Source organism: Homo sapiens, chromosome 18 (assembly GCF_000001405.40).
Source record: "Homo sapiens chromosome 18, GRCh38.p14 Primary Assembly".
In the NCBI taxonomy this organism is placed as follows: Eukaryota; Metazoa; Chordata; class Mammalia; order Primates; family Hominidae; genus Homo; species Homo sapiens.
The window spans coordinates 26312139-26331309 of record NC_000018.10 but is presented as its reverse complement, the minus strand read 5'-3'; the positions used below and the strand labels follow the sequence as shown (position 1 = coordinate 26331309).

Below are 19171 nucleotides of genomic sequence, written 5' to 3'. Positions count from 1 at the left end.
TAATACATTATGATATTCAATAATAACTAAACTAGTATTTAATAGTTTATGACCTTGTTTACAGCACAGTAAGTGGAAATAAAATACCAATAAACCACCTCATTACAATGACTAAGTGCTTACTTATAACACTTGAGGGCTCAAGAAAGAGCATCTTTCTGTCCCACCTTCCTGCTCTTCCCAGTGCAGTGGGTGTCAATGTGGGGACTGGGACTGTAGGACAGCAGGAAGCAGCACAGTGACAAGGCTGTGGTGCTCCATATCCTTACGGGGAGCTGGGGCATGTGAAGGTATAGGCCAGTGGTGAAGAATACAAGGTGGTGAGGGAGTGGGGGTCTCATCAAGGAATGGGTCTGTGAGCATGGTGGCCAATTACACAGACAATGAAATGGGGTGGGGATATTAGTAGTAGCAGACAGAGGAGTCAGCCAGCATGGCTAGTTGAGAGATTAGTTACATTGATTAAATAACTGATAGAGGACATAAGTTAAATATATCAAGGATAATGGGAACCAAGTTTCTCAAGACTGGAGAATGTTTTTACAAACATGGAGAGATTAAGGGTAGAAGGAACTCTGAGGCACTGGATTGGAGTTGCAGGTATCCATATGAACTCACGGTTTTATAATATATACACAGATATAGAAATAGTTACAGATGGACATTTGTGTGTATATATATAAACGTGTACATATACACATACCATATATACATTTCCTAGATCTGTCCATTGAGAAGGCCTAGATGTAATGACACCCTTTTAGCAATGAGTATACCGTATGACCTAAGCTCAGTTTCTGAATGTCATCCTCAACAGAAAAGAAGGCAGGCTTCTTAGAGAAATGGCTGAATTTGGGGCTAGAGCACGAAAAGTATAAGCTGGGCCTGGAGTGCCTTGTGCCTGAAAGTGAGGACATGCTCAGTGAGTGATGGATGGACACATGACTAAGGGACAGAAGGGCCAGCTGGAAGGGTCTTCCACTCAGGGGCAATTTGAGCAACAAAATAAATGACAGTAATGAATTACAACCTATTGAGACAAAGAGAAATCATTAGCCCATACTAATATGAATAAAGAAGGAAAGCTCTTCCACATGGTAGGGTGCTAATAAAACGAGGAGAGTTCATGGGAATAAATTGACATTTTGCAACCATGACAGAGGTAGCTGATTTAGGCAGACATCACAACAGATGTTATGGTTAACACACGGAGGTTTGATGAGGAATTGGATATTGGTATCATCTTAGAATGCCGTCCTATGAAAAACTAATTGATTACAAAGGGAAAAATGAGCCTGGGCAATATAGTGAGACTCTATCTCTAAAAAATTAAAAAATTTATCCAGGTGTGGTGGCATGTGCCTGTATTCCCAACTACTTGGGGGGCTGAGGTGGGAGGATTGCTTAAGCCCAAGAGGCCAAGGCTGCAGTGAGCAGTGATCACACCACTGCACTCTAGTCTGGGCAACAAAGTGAGACCCTGTCTCAAAAAAATAAAAATCAAAAAGTGGGGGAGATGGCAAGTTTAAAATGGAGAGAACTAGTAGGTACCAATATGACCCTTTTGAAATGATCAGCTGAGAAGAGTGCAGCATCATTTCTGTGCATTCCTGCCAAGCATGCTTGACCTAAGTCAAATCATAAGGAAAGATCAGATGAGCCCTGGTTGAAGGTCATCCTACAGAAGGTAAGGCTTATACTCTTGGAAACTGTCAAGGGCATAAAAGAGAAAGACTGAGAAACCCTAAAAGAATCTGAAAAGAGATGACAACTACATGAAATACAAATTCCTGAATGGGAAAATGGACCATGAAAGAGAGACATGGTTAAGCCATCTAGTGAAATCAGAATGGGTGCTGTGCATTAGATGATAGTGTTACATATGAAAATGTTCAGGAGTGGTGGAACATCATGTCTGAAGACTACTTTCAAAAAGCTTAAGAAAAGAAAAATGGCTGGGCACAGTGTCTCATGCCTGTAATCCCAGCACTTTGGGAGGCTGAGGCAGGAGGACTGCTTGAGTCTAGGAATTTGAGACTAGCTTGAACACTGTAGGGAGATCCTGTCTCTACAAAAAATCAAAATTTAGCCAGGCGTAGTGGTGTGTGCGTGTAGTCCCAGCTACTTAAGAAGCTGAGGTGGGAGGATTGCTTGAGCCTGAGAGGTGAAGGCTGCAGTGAGCCACGATCACATCACTGTACTCCAGCCTAGTAACAGAGTGAAACTCTGTCTCAAAAAGAAAGAAAAGGAAAGAGAAAGAGGAAAGAAAGGTAGGAGGAGAGAAGAAGAAAGAAAGGGAGGAAGAGAGGAAGTGGGGAAGGCAAGAAGGGAGGAAAACAGGGAGGGGATTAATGATTGTATGTGTAGAAAGGGTAATGAAAAGGGTACAGATAAGGCTGGACACGGTGGCTCAGTCCTGTAATCCCAGAACTTTGGGAGGCTGAGGTGGGCGGATCAAGCTCAGGAGTTCGAGACCACCCTGGGCAACATGGTGAAACCCTGTCACTACTAAAATACAAAAAATTCGCCGGGCGTGGTGGTGAGCGTCTGTAGTCCCAGCTACTCAGGAGGCTAAGACAGGAGAATTGCTGGAACCTGGGAGGCAGAGGTTGCAGTGAGCCGAGATTGTGCCACTGCACTCTAGCTTGAGCTACAGAGAGAGATTGCTCAAAAAACAAAAAAATAAAACAAAAATGGTAGAGATGAAGCAAATGCAGTAAAATGTTAAAATTGGGGGGATCTGGGAAAGGGGACTGAGAGTACTTTGTACAGTTTTGGCAACTTTTCTGTATTAAATAATTTCAAAATAAATTAGGTTTTTCTGGAGTTTTTTTGTTTTGTTTTTATTTATTTATTTTTTGGAGATGGAGTCTTGCTCTGTCACCAGGCTGTAGTGTAGTGGCACGATTTCAGCTCACTGCAACCTCCACCTCCCAGGGTTCAAGAGGCTCCCCTGCCTCAGCCTCCTGAGTAGCTGAGACTACAGGCGTGCACCACCACACCCGGCTAATATTTGTATTTTTAGTTGAGATGGGGTTTCACCATGTTGGCCAGGATAGTCTCGATCTCCTGACCTCGTGATCCGCCCACCTCAGCCTTCCAAAGTGCTGGGATTACAGGCATGAGCCACTGTGCCCGGCCTCAAAATACGTTAGTTTTTAAAAAAGTAATTGCTATGTGATTAGGAACAAATACTCTAAAAAGGGAAGCTATCAAGAACGCTAGAAATTAAAACAAATGTGCTTAAAACAAAAATTAAGACTCCAGTGCTCAGCCTTTAAGATTTCTCACAATGGCCCAAAGCCTACGAAGAAATGTGGAGCTTCAAAATGGAAACTGTAGTGGAATTAGCTTTTACCTCATGTGACACTAATAGCCCAAGAAAACGTTTAAATAAGGGAGAAGGGAAATAAATAAATAGCCTTGGCCAGGCGGGTGGCTCACGCCTGTAATCCCAAAACTTTGGGAGGCCAAGGCAGGCGGATCACCCAAGGTCGGAGTTCCAAGACCAACCTGGCCAACATGGTGGAACCCTGTCTCTACTAAAAAACAAACCAACAACAACAAAAAAAATTAGCCAGGCGTGGTGGCAGGCACCTGTAGTCCCAGCTACTCAGGAGTCTGAGGCAGAGAACTGCTTAAACCCAGGAGGCAGAGGTTGCAGTAAGCCGAGATCATGCCACTGCATTCCAGCCTGGGTGACAGTGCAAGACTCTGTCTCCAAAAATAAAATTAAATAAAGAAGCCTCGCTATTCTTTTACTCTATTTCCACCCAGCCTGTATTTTGTTCCACAAAATCCAAATTACTAATTTTACCCATAACCTTCCTGTCTACTTTCCAAATTTTCCCTATCAACTTCAACTTGGCATGTATCAAATTGGATTCCTAAAAAGACCCTGAAATTTTACGAAACATTTTACCTGGGTTTGAGGATGGGGAGAGCACACAGGAAATGTGAGAAGACAAAAGATTATGACTCATTAAACTAAATTAACTGAAAGCCACCACACCATCCTGGCTGTGAGACATCCTATTAGTAATTTCGTTTTAGGAAATCCTCTGGAGAAATCTAAAGGCCTAATAAAACCAAGACAGTCAACCAACGATAAAGCCACCTCTGACCACACTGCCAGGCCACATTCACTCATAAATCACACTGGCCCTTACCTTGGCTGCCTTAAGTAACATTTCTCTTTCTTCCAAATCCTTTCTCTGCTTCTCCAATTGATCCAGCTTTTCAAGAAATTTGAGCTGTGACCTGGTATCACTACACAGGATGTAATTTTCACTTGCCTGGGAAAAAAAAGAAAACAGAAAGTCTTATAATGATCCTGGGCCACACATTCTACATTAGGTATTGTATAAACCTGCTAAAGGCAGGAATACCAACATAAATAGGAAGCTGAACTTTCAGAAGGTAATGATTTTGTTTCTATTAAGCAAACATCCCCCTACATCCACTCCACCAGAAAAGAAACTTTAATCATTCTTAAAATTTGAGAGATGATTAACCAGTTATGTTTCAAAGAACTTTGCTAGTAAACATCATTGTGGGGTGAAGGGGGAGGAATTAAGCCAAGCAGATCCTTCCAACAATAGGAAGGAGAAACTAAAGAGTGCCCCATTCACCAATAACCAAAATCTTTTTAGATTATTATCTACCTCAGCAGACATTAATATAAGTAATTAAATCTTAGTTTTCTGAAAGACAAAAAGCAAGAAACAATCACCTCACTAAAAAATATACCAAAGATGAAAGTTATCACCTTGGTTACCATGATTAGATTGGTTTAACCTTGACAACTGAATATAACTTCTATCAAAATATAATCTAAGTTAAGATGGCAAACATTAAAATCTTGAAATGCTATTTTGAGGATTACTCAGGGGTGTGAATTTGGACAGAAACTGTGGTCAAAGAAATTTAGTATACAATTTATAAATGACAGCCATAACAGAAGTATAAACTGTCTTAATTGTTCCATAAAATGATAAAATGCAAATTGCTCAATCTATTCTGTGGATGTAAAACAGTGCTTTCCCACCTAAATATTTTCTAATTTTCTTCACCTATATAGCTGCCCCTTTCTCCTCTATGAGTGTGTATAGGCAGGAGTGGGGGACAGGGTTGGAGGAGGCAATGGGACAGGGAGAGCTTTCTAATCAATGTTTAAGACATCTTGCCATCTATTCATCTCAGTAATTCGGATATTCAAGAGAAACTGTATAGTAGAAAAACCGAATGTCTTTAAACAACAGTCAGTGCCTGGCCTGGAAATCATGAGTACTGTACCACTCCCATCTTTGTTTTATCCCCCTGCTTATGGTTGATTCAATTAACTGTGACTGAGGGATTTCATATGCCCAAGATTCTTTTTAAATTAAATTTTTATTGTTGGTATTTAACTAGATCAAAAGAGTATTACATAGTTTAAGGAACAAGGATATATTAGTGCTACTTATTTTACTTCATGTTTAATACAAAAAGAATTCTCAACTGTTTTTAAAGTTAAATAACACAAGATAGAATATGGAATACATTATAGGCTAACCATAGAGATTAAATATAATAACCAGTGGTTTCTTAAATACTTAATCTTTACCATTTTTGTGTTTAGACACTCTGGAAATGGTTTAATGATGGGATTTAATTTAAAAAGGACAGCAAATACTAAATTAAAAAGGGTCACAGACTTTTTAAATTTTAGCCCAATCATATTCCCATGCTAAGATTCCTTCCTCTCTCTCCCCCAACTCATATACAACGACCTCTGACATTCGCATCCTTTTTTCTTCCGTATCACTAAACAAATGAGTGCCCTCCCTATTCATATTAAGTCTATAACCTTATTTAAACAACAGCAACCCCAATCTTATGTTCCTTCCTATATACCCAGCTGGCCTAACTGAAGATTTCATGCACCAACAGAGTAGGGCTTTACAATGTTAAGGCCACTGCATATTAAATGGTTTAGCCAAGAAAATGTAATGACCCAGACCAAATGATATCAACACCATCAAATGAATCCCATCTAAAGCAACCCAAATAGCACCTTTCAACTGGAAAACACTGAATGAAGCTTCTTCAGGGCCATAGTCATATAGGCGACTATAACATATCTTCAGTGGGAAAACACCTGGTAGCCAGATCAAAAGCTCTGTACTACATGTCACTTTCTACTTATTTACTTAGATCTCAGTTTATGACTAATGATTAAAGAATTATATCAAACCAGGTGAAAGATTATCAAAAGTAAATGGATGTTCAAGAGTGGAAAGAGATGGGGGGATTTCACTTTTTTAAAAAGAGTAACTCACTTTTATAAAATCTATGGAGTAGAATTTCCTACACTGTACAGATAAAAATAAATCCTATCAGGGATGAACTGAAATATAAGGACAGGGCTAAAGCTGTGACATAAAGATTATTACAAACAAAGTCTACAAAATAATGGTGATTTCAAACTGAATCCAAATATAACCAAATGATAATTATTTTGACTTAAAAGGGCTGATAATCTTTTGTTATTTTATATATACGCAAATGTAGACAGTGGCATTAGCTGTATTAACAAATGAGTGTAGGAAAAGGAAAGCTCGGGAAAATCAGTCAGAATAGGTAGTATACAAGACAGCAGGTTAAGGAAGTGTTAGCTTCAAGCTAACTTAGTGAGGTCTTCTAGGTGGGGGAGATACCATCCATTTTGCCTAGTGCAACTAAATGTTTGGAAATACGCTACTGATATACAACAAAAGAATTCCAGCTGAAAGCTATACACAATAGAGCTTTGAATGCCATTCAATAAATATTACTTTAAAAATTCTATTCCATTGTAAATTATACTTATTATGTTTTATACAGAAACTGCCTACTATAAATCAAGATGTACTCACGTGGCCAGGCATGGTGACTCACACTTGTAATCCCAACACTTTGGGAGGCCGAGGCGGGTGGATTGCTTGAGGCCAGGAGTTTGAGACCAGCCTGGCCAACATGGCGAAACCCTATCTCTACTAAAAAAGGTATTCATGTATCTCTGAAACAACAGTGTGATTAAGGCAGAAGTAGGGAGAATCTAAGTTTGAAAAACTGTAAGATACTTTAAAGAGTTATAGTAAAAAGCCAAAAATATGTCTATAATTTTCCCACATCACAAAATTAAAAGTAAGCTGATAACAATCCAAACTAGATTGTAGATTTAGGATGTTAATTGTAATCTCTATGGTAACTGCTAAGAAGATATCTAAATATATCCAAAACGAAATGAGAAGGGGATCAAAATGGAACAAAACAAAAACAATTAAACATAAGAAGCAGAGGAAGTGAGGAACACAAAACTTATAAGGCATACAGAAAAGAAATAGCAAAATAGAAGTTATTTATCAGTAATTACATTTTAAATGTAAATGGAGTAAGCTCTTCAAAGAGACTAGCAGAATGAATTTTAAAAAATGATCAAATTATATGCTGTCTATACTTTAGTTGAAACCATACCAATACGCTGAAAGTGAAAGGATGGAAAAAGATATTCCATGCAAGTAACAAACAAAAGAAAGTAATATCAGACAGTATAGACTTTAAGTACAAAACCCTTAAAAGAGACAAACAAGGACATTATTATATATTGATAAAAAGGTCAATTCATCAAGAAGATATACACATCAAACCAGACTTCTCAAATATATGAAGCAAACAAACATTGACAGAATTTTGTTTAAAAAACAATTCCACAGCATGGGCAACATAGTGAGCCCCTGTCTCAAAAAAAAAAAAAAAAAAATTAGTTGGGTGTGGTGGCACACGCCTGTTAGTCTTAGCTACTGGAAAGGCTGAGGTGGGAGGGTGGCTTGAGGTGGGAGGGTGCTTGAGTCCAGGAGTTCAAGGTTGCAATGAGCTATGATTGCACCACTGCACTCCAGCCTGGATGACAGAGTGAGACCCTGTCTCTAAAACAAAAAGAAAAATAGAGCTCCACAATAGTTGAAGATTTTAATACTGCACTTTCAATAATGAATAGAACATCCAGATGGATGATCAATAAGGAAACAGAGGACTTAACATTATAAACCAACTATATCTATCAGACATCTATGAAACAAGAGCAGAACACACATTCTTCTCAAGTGCACATGAAACATTTTCCAGGATACAATGTATGTTAAGTCATAAAACAAGCCTCAGTACATTTTAAATGAATGATTCATACAAAGTATCTTCTCTGACCACAACGGAATACAGCTAGAAACCAACAACAAAAGGAAAACTGGAAAATTCCCACATATTTGGAAATTAAACAACATACTCTACAGTCACAAAGAATCAAATAAATCTCAAAAGAAATGAGAAAATATTTAAAGATAAATGAAAACGACAACACAACATACCAAAACTTATGGAATGCAGTGAAAGCAGTACTCAGAGGGAAATGTATAGTAGTAAACGCCTACATTATAAAAGGAAGATCTCAAATAAAAAACCTAACTTTACATCTTATGAAACTAAAAAAAAAGAAGAGCAAACTAAGCCTGAAGCTTAGAAGGAAAATAATATAAAAACTAGAGTGGAGATACACGAAATCAAAAATAGAAAAACAGAAAATTAATAAAACCAAAAGTTGGTTATTTGAAAAGCTCAACAAAATCAACACACCATTCGCTTTACTAGCAAAGAAGAAAAAGAGAGAAGATGCAAATAACAAAAATCAGTAATGTAAGGGGGATCATTACCATTGACCTTACAGAAATAAAAGGTTACAAGACAGTATTATTAACAGTCCTATGCCAACAAATTAGATAACCTAGGAGAAATGAAAAAATTCCTAGAAACACAAAATTAATATCTTTATTTATTTTTGTGTGTTTCTAGGAATTATAAAATACTGATATTAATTTTTTGTTTTTTTCATAGCTTTTTCTCCTGTTGATCACATATTCCTAAGTCAGTCCAGCAAATTCTCACAAAGATTTATGCAAGTGAGGACCTTGGCAATCATATGTAGTTTTTCCAAAGTTCTAAATGGAAAGGAAAAAAAAATAAAATAATATGATTCCTCCAGGGAACTTACTGGTGGTGTAGTAGCTGACAATTTCCTAGTTTCCTTTAACCTTTGACTAGGATATCACGGCAATGACCATTCTTCCAAATTCAAAATCTCTTAAGGTTACCTACATACCATCTTGTTCAAAATCTAGCTATAAACATTTCTTGGAAAGAGGGAAACAGTTATCTTATTTATTTATTTATTTTCAACTCAGGTTACCTTCTCTTTTCATCCCTAATCACCCAATATATTCGCCCTCCTCCAAAACTACATCAAGTTATTTTACCTTGATAACAGCAAGTCATTTGGTTCATACCACTAGGGATACAAGCTATTCCTGTATTTAGTTTTTTTAATAAAAGTAGCCAATAACACTTAGTAGCATCAATATGAGCACTCAATGCAATCATTTAACTTATTAAAAGGAACAGAGGATGAACAAGTGGAAAGATCTAATGTAGAACATAAGGACTATGGTTAGTAATATATTGTTTTCAGGATTTCTGCTAAATGAGTAGATTATAGCTGCTTTTGCCACAGGGGAGAAAATGGGTAGATTTGAGATAATGAAAATGTTAACTTATTCAACTAAATAGTAATAATTTTACTATACATGTGTATCTTTAACACGTTGTATACCTTAAATATTAATATATACAATAAAATTTATTTTAAAATAAATCAATCTCTGGAAAACTGAAAGGCAAAAAAAAAAAAAGGAACAGGAATGCGAGGAGAGTGCAGAACACTGAAGAGAACACAAGTAGCCAATATTCCATTCTAACATATCTTTCCTTCCCCATCAAAAGCTTAAGAGAAGCCTCATGCAGAACAGATACATATTTCAATCTACAGTGACACAGAAGCTTTTAATATCATTTTAAACTCCATTTTAATTTTATTTGTCATGTAAGCTTATCTAAATAAGAATGAGACTTTGATTTTCCACTAATATGAAATATAAGCCTCAACCATTCCTTTAAAAACGTGTTTAGAATATCAATCCACGCCCAAAAGACTACCTATAACACTCGAGAGTTTATACTTCTTTAATGATTTCCTTTACCTTGTAAGTAGTCATTCGATGCTGAGCAATTGCAGTCAGTTTTTCTAGAAGGCCTCGTAGTCGTTCCTGTGTTGCTTGGGAGATCAAGTTCACAGCATCAGAGTTAAGTTCTGTAATGTCATGCTTTTTACCTGCAGAAGCAGAGAAAATCCATTACGTGTTTTAGTAGTGGCTGATAATTGAAATAATTAGCACAGCAGGTATTCTGTTCCCCCTGGAAGTCATACCCATTATGAATAAAGGTTTGGAGATTATGATTTTCCTAGTAAAGTCACAACTTCAAAGATCTTAGACATTACATTAATAAAACCTAGCCTGAAGCCTCAGAAAATATAGACATTGTTTCACTTAGCCTCTAGAATCATTCTCCTTGCAAGGTCATTTATAGGACAAAGTTAATAAGAACACAAATCAAGTCTATTGTTCAGGGAGGAAAATGGTAACTGCAGAAATTAGTACCATATTCTGTTAATTTTAGTAATTAAAAAAATAGAAAATTACATTTTGCCCTGTTTGACACTGTTAACAATTTATGACATTTATTTAAATGAATTCAGATTATGAGTCTCTGTTAATGCCTTGTCTACAAGACATACCTATATTCCTTTTGTCTATTACCAATCATGTTTACTTTGCATTAACTGATGTTCTGATATATTCACTTAGTAGTCAATTTACAAGTTCAAATGGGTTCAAAACCTCATCGTTTCACCTACCTATCTGAATAACTTCTCTCTCACTAGATTTCCTTTCCATAAAAAAATCAAACTTCTTCCTTCTGCTAACTAGCAAGAAAGTTTCAGGAAAACAATTTGGACCACATACTCAAAAGAGTCAGAAGTTCATTTATAAATCAACCTTGTCCGTAATTTAAATAGTACTTCTCAGCCCCAGTGAAACCACTTATATCAACAGAGGCTTAAATCTAAAGATACAGGCAATTAGGTCATCTGTTTTAAATAGGCTTTTTAAAAAGCACTACTGTGATTGTTTTTAACATATACACATGAATTTTTAAAATATTATAGTTTGATTTTATATTCTAATTTACCTGAAATATACTCTTATATTCTCATCAAAGGGTGAACTACAGAAAAAATATGCTTGAATTAAAAGTCAATAACTCAAATACATTGATATTATATAATGAAAGCAAATAGGAAGATACAAAATTAATCAACTTCTCCTAAACCAACCCTTCAAAATGTAATTCATTACTTGTAACAAAGCTGAAATCCTCTCTAATCTCAGATTCAGGCAGGGAAAAAAATTCTACAAAGTCAACTCTACTTTAATAAAACCCTCAGCATAGGCCAGGCATGGTGGCACACGCCTGTAATTCCAGCACTTTGGGAGGCCAAGGCAGGTGGATCACCTGATGTCAGGAGTTCGAGACCAGCCTGACTAACACGGTGAAACCCCGTCTCTACTAAATACAAAAAAAATAGCTGGTCGTGGTGGTGCATGCCTGTAATCCGAGCTACACGAGAGGTTGAGACAGGAGAATCACTTGTACCTGGGAGGCGGAAATTGCAGTGCGCTGAGATCGCACCATTGCGCTCCAGCCTGGGTAACATGAGCAAAACTGCATCTCAAAAAAAAAATAAAAATTAAACTAAAACCCTCAGCATAAACAAATAGTGGGGCCTTCTATAAAAGAAAAAGTACAATTTTATTTCTTATTTTTATTTTTATTTTCTTGAGATGGAGTCTTGCTCTGTCACCCAGGCTGGAGTGCAGTGGTGCAATCTCCACTCACTGCAACCTTTGCCTCCCAGGTTCAAGCAACATTCCTGCCTCAGCCTCCCAAGTAGCTGGGATTACTTATAGGCAAGCGCCACCACACCTGGCTGATTTTTTTTTGTATTTTTAGTAGAGATGGCGTTTCACCATGTTGGCCAGGCTAGTCTCAAACTCCTGACCTCAAGTGATCTGCCCGCCTCAGCTTCCCAAAGTGCTGGGATTACAGGTGTAAGCCACCGCTCCTGGCCTATTATTATTATTTTTGAGACAGGGTCTCACTCTGTCACCCAGGCTGGAATGCAGTGGAGCAATCATAGCCCACTGCAACTTCGACCTGCCAGGCTCAAACAATCCTCCCACCTCAGCCTGCTGAGTAGCTAGAAGTACAGGCATGAGCCAACAGGCCCAACTACTTTTTTAAATTTTTGTAGAGATTGGGTCTCACTATGTTGCCCAGGCTGGTCTCTAGCTTCTGGGCTCAAGCAATCCTCCTGCCTCAGCCTCCCAAAGTGCTGGGATTACAGGTGCAAGGCACCTTAGTGTTTGAAGAAGAACTTCTGAAAATAATTTCATATGTATTCATAAAACAGAGGTAATTCATCCAACATAAAAACACACATATCTTTTAAATATTGGAAATAAGTGCTGAGATTAAACAATTCCAGGGTTTAGGGAACAACCAAATGTTGTAATGTCTTCACTAAATTGGTAATAAAATACAACTTAAAAATTACAAAGTAAAATACTGTAGAAAAATTCCCATTTTAAAACAAAACACCCTTTTTAACAAAATCAACAAAACTGATTAAGATCTAGTTGGTGCTTGCACACTAGTTATGTGATTTTACTGAACGTGCAATTTAATTTAGGTTATTAGGAAAAAAAGAAAAGAACACTGGCATTTTATCTGTTAACATTATTCAAGTAGAAAAATCCTTTTTCCAAAAAGAAAATCTTTGGGTAAATTTGTAATTTCTATTTTTAACAAACAGCCTTGGTTCTGACCTATTCTACAAGGAAGGAATTTTATTATAAATGGAAAGCATTCCTAGAAATATGTAACTCCATTCACTCTATGATCCTACTTTAAAAAAAAAAAAAGCTTAGCTAATTCAGAAGTAAGAATTCTTGAAGTTTTCCATATTATTCGACAGGTTTGTACTTCATCACTAAGAACTGAAAATGATTTAAGACCAGGAGTTCAAGATCAACCTGGGCAACATAGTGAGACCCTGTCTCTACAGAAAAATACAAAAATTAGCCAGATTTAGTAGTGCGCACCTGTAGTCCCAGCTACTTCAAAAGGTTGAGGCAGGAGGATCACTTGAACCTGGGAAGTTAGGGCTGCAGTGAGCTGTGATAGCACCACTGTACTCCAGCCTGGGCAACAGAGCAAGACCACATCCCAAAAATAAATATTTTTTTAAAAAAGAAGTAAAAATGCAAATAGTTGTTCCCTTATTGTGCTAAATTAGAGGTTACCAAACTATGGCCAACAAGCCAAATCTGATCACTCTTTGTAAGTGAAGTTTTACGGGGATACAGTTGCATGGACTAAATGTTTGCATCTCCCCAAAAGTCATTCATGTTGAAGCTCTAATGCCAGTGAGATGGTATTTGGAGTTGGGGCCTTTGGGAGACAATTAGGTCATAAAAGTACTGCCTTCGCCCTAAGAAGAGACCAGAGAGCTAGCTAGTTATCTTTCTGCCACATGAAAACACAGCAAGAAGATGGCTGTCTGAATACCAGAAAGAAGGCCTTCACCAAGAATCTGACCGTGCTGGCACCCTGATCTCAAATGGCCAACCTCCAGAACTATGAGAAATAAACATTTGTTGTTTAAGCCATCCAATTTATGGTATTTTGTTACAGCAATCCAAGATGACTAAGACAATAACCATGCCCATTTGTTTACACATTGTCTATGGCTGCTTTGTACTATGACAGCCGAATTGAGCAATTGTGACAGAAACCATATAACCTACAAAAGTGGCAAATATTATCTGCCCTTTGAAGGAAAAAGTTGCTTATCCCTGTCCTAAGTGATCAAAAATGCTTTTAATGCCAAAAATTTTTCTATCATATAATCAAGGTTTAAACCACACTGGAAATAGAATTTGGAAGCAGGCTGGGCACAGTGGCTCACGACTGTAACCCCAGCATTTCGGGAGGCCAAGGCGGGTGGATGACTTGACGTCAGGAGTTCAAGACCAGCCTGGCCAACATGGTGAAACCCCATCTCTACTAAAAATACAAAAAATTAGCCGGGCATGGTAGTGGGCACCTGTAATCCCAGCTACTCGGGAGGTTGAGGCAGGAGAATCGCTTGAACCCGGGAGGCGGAGGTTATAGTGAGCCGAGATCGTGCCACTGCACTGCAGCCTGGGCAACAAGAACAAAACTCAGTCTCAAAAAAAAAAAAAAAAAAAATCGGAAGGGAGGGTGACCGATAAAACTAAGTATCTACTTATATTTTACCAAAGCACTAGATAATTATATGGCAATAAGGAGTTAAGCTACCAATAGATTTCCCAAGCCATCACAGGAAGGTTTAGTGCTGAGACTTGTTCCCAAATTAAGGAACTGGTTTCTGTATAATACAAAATACATATGCAAAAAAGAAAATGGAAGAAGCAAAGGAATGAAGGAACACAGGGAGAGGGAGGGAAACACAAGCAAATAGAAAACAAACACATTTTACAATCAGCTCTTCTGGACTTCAAAGCTCTAGTTTTTCATAATAATGTATTCTCGATTTAAATTAGAAATGTAAGCCAGGCACGGTGGCTCACGCCTGTAATCCCAGCACTTTGGGAGGCGGGTGGATCACCTGAGGTGAAGAGCTCAAGACAAGCCTGGCTAACATGGTAAAACCCTGTCTCTACTAAAAATTCCAAAATTAGCTGGGTGTGGTGGTGGGTGCCTATAATCCCAGTTACTCAGGAGGCTGAGGCAGGAGAATCACTTGAACCTGGGAGGCAGAGGCTGCAGTGAGCCAAGATGGCACCACTGCACTCCAGCCTGGGTGACAGAGTGAGGCTCCCTCCATCTTGAGGAAAAAAAAAAGAAGAAGAAGAAGAAAACCCTGGTCATTTATATAGCATACAGCAGCTAAAACATTTATTTACTGAGTACCTGTGAAGTAGACCTAAAAACTGTAATAATAATGAACTTTGTAGTCCTTAAATATACCATAGGTCTATAAAAATCGAAACCTTCACGTTTTTGTATCAAGCCTTCGTTATAAAATATAAAGGTCTTACTTAAGTATATTTGAAGCTCATTAGTACTGGCCCCAAAAATTTGACATAGGTGAAGAAGCCTCCCGGGTTCAAGCGATTCTCATGCCTCAGCCTCCCGAGTAGCTAAGACTACAGGCGCACCCCCACCACACCTGGCTAATTTTCTGTATTTTTAGTACAGACAGGGTTTCACCATGTTGGCCAGGCTAGTCTCAAACTCCTGAACTCATGTGATCTGCCCACCTTGGCCTTCGAAAGTGCTAGGATTACAGGCATGAGACACCGTGTCTGGCCGTGTTTTCTTACATTTTCTTTCACACTGCAGCTATCTAACAACTACTCCTGGGCCTAGAGAGGACCCTAAGACTCTAATCTAGTTTTTTAAAGTAAGAATGGGTTTAAACTTCAAGGTTAAGAAAAGGGAAAGGGAGTTACTTTCTTTGGATGTCCCTGTATTTCATAAACACAAACATGTAACATAAGTGTGCATTTGTACATATATATGCCAAAAGTCCAACTATGGAAGGAACAGGACAGAAAAAAAAATAGTATATTATATATTCATGCAAAAATATATTCCACTATTCCTCCATTAAGAAATATGAGTAAAATATTAACCAAACCCAATACCATGTTATATTAATAATTTTTAAAATAAACTACTTCTTTCTGTAATGCCCATGAAATCTTGATTATTTCTAGAATCTTATTTAAGCCTCAGAGTTCCAGGACAACCAACCCAGGTTGTCTCTTTTGATAATATTTTCCCTCAAACAGACATCTCTATCAGGTCAATAATCATAACTCTACACTTACCAATGTCTAAAATTCTCTTTTGTAGAGCTCCAATAAAAAGAAATGGTTCATCTTTACATGACTGAATGAGTGTGCCAACCAATTCAGAGTTTGTTGCTAAGATGCAGGCATTTTCTTCATTAAGGTTGACCCCTGCCATAGAAGTCACATCATTGATGTCATCCTCATCTCTAATAGAAAAAAAAAAAAGTTATACATTTTAGGTTGTGTGTGTGTGTGTGTGTGTGTGTGTGTGTGAGAGAGAGAGAGAGACAGAGAGAGAGAGAGAGAGAGAGAGAGAGAGAGAGAGAGAGAGAGAGAGAGTTTCAGAGAGCAAAAGAATTAGAGGTCTCTCCTTGTAACTAACGGCATTATTTTACTTAATTCATCCAATCAAGAGAAGTGAAGAATGGCTACCTTTCCCTTTAAGCTTTTGAAAGTAATTAGTGTCTCTAACCACCAATGTATATTTAATAACAGAAGGATGAATCAGAAGTAACTTTGTCTTCTAGGTCCCAACTTTCCCTCTCTCAGTCTGGCAAATAAGAAACACCAAGAGGCATTTGGAGTTACACCAAGTCATCCATAAATCCTCTGCAATGAAAGACAAAGAAATGAAAACAGACATCTTTCTTTTCATCCAAGATGGTTAAAAGTCCATCAGCTGTCCCCAGTGTACTCTACCATTCATTCCACTTAAGGGCAGCAGAAATTATCTGGTCCTGAAAGGTCCATATCCACATAAAGACCCTTGGGAAGAAGCTTACTAGACTAGCCATTCTAAAACCAAATGGTATAAAACTAGTTTTGTTTTTCTGTTTCAGACTTTTGGTGTGCTCCATCTATACCAACTGAATTCGTTAAACCACATCCTCAGCAATTACCCAAAAATGGCCTATATATAAAATATAAAACACACTCATGTACATATACACACACACATACATACATGTGCATAAAAAATACAAAAGATGTCTGGGCTCCTTGCTTTGTATCAGCAAAATTAAACAGTTGTTTTTATCTAATGGAATTGTTACGTGGCCACAGCACTAAGATGAGTATATATATTTAAGGGTAAAGAAGAGGGAGAGGAAAGAAATACTAAAATTCCCTCATAGCATCCTTGTCACTATATGTAATAAGAAGCATCTTACCAGTGTTATATGACAATGTATAACATAAGTTACAATAATGTGATTATATAAAAAGATGTTGTTTCTCTTTATTGCATGGGCCAAATGGTATATAATATGGTCTTTTGTCAATAGGATTTAAATTACAAATTTCTCTGTGGTAATGCATCTGTGCACAGAAAAAGGAAATAAAGTGTAAAATGCTCAAAAAATGAAGGCCTCTGGTGTTCAACTTTAAAAAACAACACATTAGGGATGAGGGGGAAAAGAACTCATACTCAAACACATATAAGAGATGTAAGCAAAATAAAAGAAAGTAGGCCAGGAGCAGTGGCTACCATCTGTAATTCCAGTACTCTGGGAGGCCAAGGTGGGAGGATTGCTTTAGGTGAGGAGTTCGAGATCAGCCTGGGCAACATAGGGAGATACCACCTCTACAGAAAACAAAAAAAAATTAGCCAGGCATGGCTGTATATGCCTGTGGTTCCAGCTACTTGAGAGGCAGAGGTGGGAGGATCACTTGAGCCTGGGAGGTAGAGGCTGCAGTGAGCTGTGATCAGGCCACTGCACTGTAGCCTGGGTGACAGAGTGAGACCCTGTGTTTAAAAAAAAAAAACTCAAGGAAAGTAAACTGCTAAACACAGCAATTGAAAAAATGAAGAGAAGTAACAATGGTCTTACATGAACAGTATACCAAAAGCTCAAAATTAAAAGGCATGTCTCTGTAATGGGGAAAGAAAACAGTAAAAACTTAATTTCTCAAACCACCAAATGAAATATGCAGAGCAAAGAAACGTCACAAAGGTATCCTCAGAGACATGGGATGCTAAGAACGATTTTAAGAATCACTCTGCCACCTATATAAATAAATCAATGTGTCCAGATTTAAACATCTAAACATTTAAACATCGAAAGCATTAAGAATGTAAGGAATCATAAGCCTAAAGATGGACCAAAATCTGAGTAAAAAAATTTTAATGGGACTATGTAAAATTTATTTTCAAAAGAACACGTGAACATAAATGAAAAGTCAGATGACTGCAAAACAGAATCCTAACCAGTTATTTAACATCTCTGGGACTCAGTTTCCTCCTCCAAAAAATACATAACTCAGATTAGGTGCTTTCTAAGGTCCCTCTCAACCACTTAAAAAAATGATGCAGCTCTCTTTGGACTGACATGGAACAAAGAGACTGCACCTTGAAAATACATACGCTTACATAGGCATAATATATTTTTGGAAAGATACATAAGAAATTTTCTGGAGAGAGAAATACAAAACCAGGGATAGGAAGAAGGCTTACTTTATACCAATTATACCCTTTTCTATCTTTTGAATGTTGTACTATATATATGGATTGCCCAATCAAAATAATTGGTGATATTGAAAGTAACATAAGTAAACACTCAGATAAAGAAAAGTAAAGATAGAAAAATTGAAGTGTAGAGATATAACCTCATCCCTGCTTTAAAGTAAAACTGGAGTTTTAACGTGCGGGTAACTCCACATGACCTTTACACATATACATACAACACTGAGTGCCTGTCAACTAAGATGTGCGCCAGGTACACAGGCCCCTGGAAATTGCACCTTGCTTCTCTAGCAAGGTCCCTGTACAGCCTTTGTTGACATCTCACACACAGGCTGGCAAGACCAGTGCCAGGCCTACTTACTACCAATACCTAGCATTGTATTAGCACTGAACAGAATTCAGTCAATGAGGAGACAGTCCCATGTCTTTTAGAATCTTGCAGCCTTTCCCTGCAAATGAGCAGGGAACTAACTACTCAATAAGATTTGTTCTTGCCTGCCATCCTTCCTTCTATCTAGCCCCAAGCTGAACACAACTCCCTCTAGTTACCATGGTTACAGATGGTGGCAGGCGTAGAGGAGGACCCCTACTGAGGAAAGAGGAAAAGGTGCCACAAAAAAACAGCACCCAAGCTATTTAAAACTTCTTTAGTCAAGGAGGCAGACTAAAGGAAAGCAGTGTTCTAGCAGCATATCAGTAAGGCTAGATAAGAGGTCAGGACACTAGCAAAGGCTTTGATGTTTAGAGATATTTGTGATTCTGGTTTGGTTTTAATTTTCAAGAAGTAAGTAAGAATCACCAAACCAAGTCTTCAAGTCTTCTGGTCTGATGCGGT

General features: G+C 37.8%; 1 protein-coding gene across 6 annotated transcripts in view; it reads right to left on the bottom strand.

Annotated features, from left to right (window-relative positions):
- The window catches only part of TAF4B (TATA-box binding protein associated factor 4b), a 165241-nt gene that overhangs the window by 60376 nt on the left and 85694 nt on the right, over positions 1 to 19171 (bottom strand). For 4 of the 6 annotated variants that reach the window (NR_121653.2, NM_001293725.2, XM_024451239.2 and 1 more), the window contains 3 exons: positions 15912 to 16081; positions 10110 to 10240; positions 4170 to 4295 (listed from right to left, as the gene is read on the bottom strand). Coding sequence is in view for 5 of the 6 variants with exons in the window: in NM_001293725.2 (NP_001280654.1) it covers positions 4170 to 4295; positions 10110 to 10240; positions 15912 to 16081 (427 nt within the window). In the remaining variant the exon portion in view is untranslated. Of the gene's footprint in view, positions 1 to 4169; positions 4296 to 10109; positions 10241 to 15911; positions 16082 to 19171 lie in introns of those variants that run through there. The other 2 variants (XM_011526153.3, XM_017025932.2) reach the window with 2 other exon arrangements.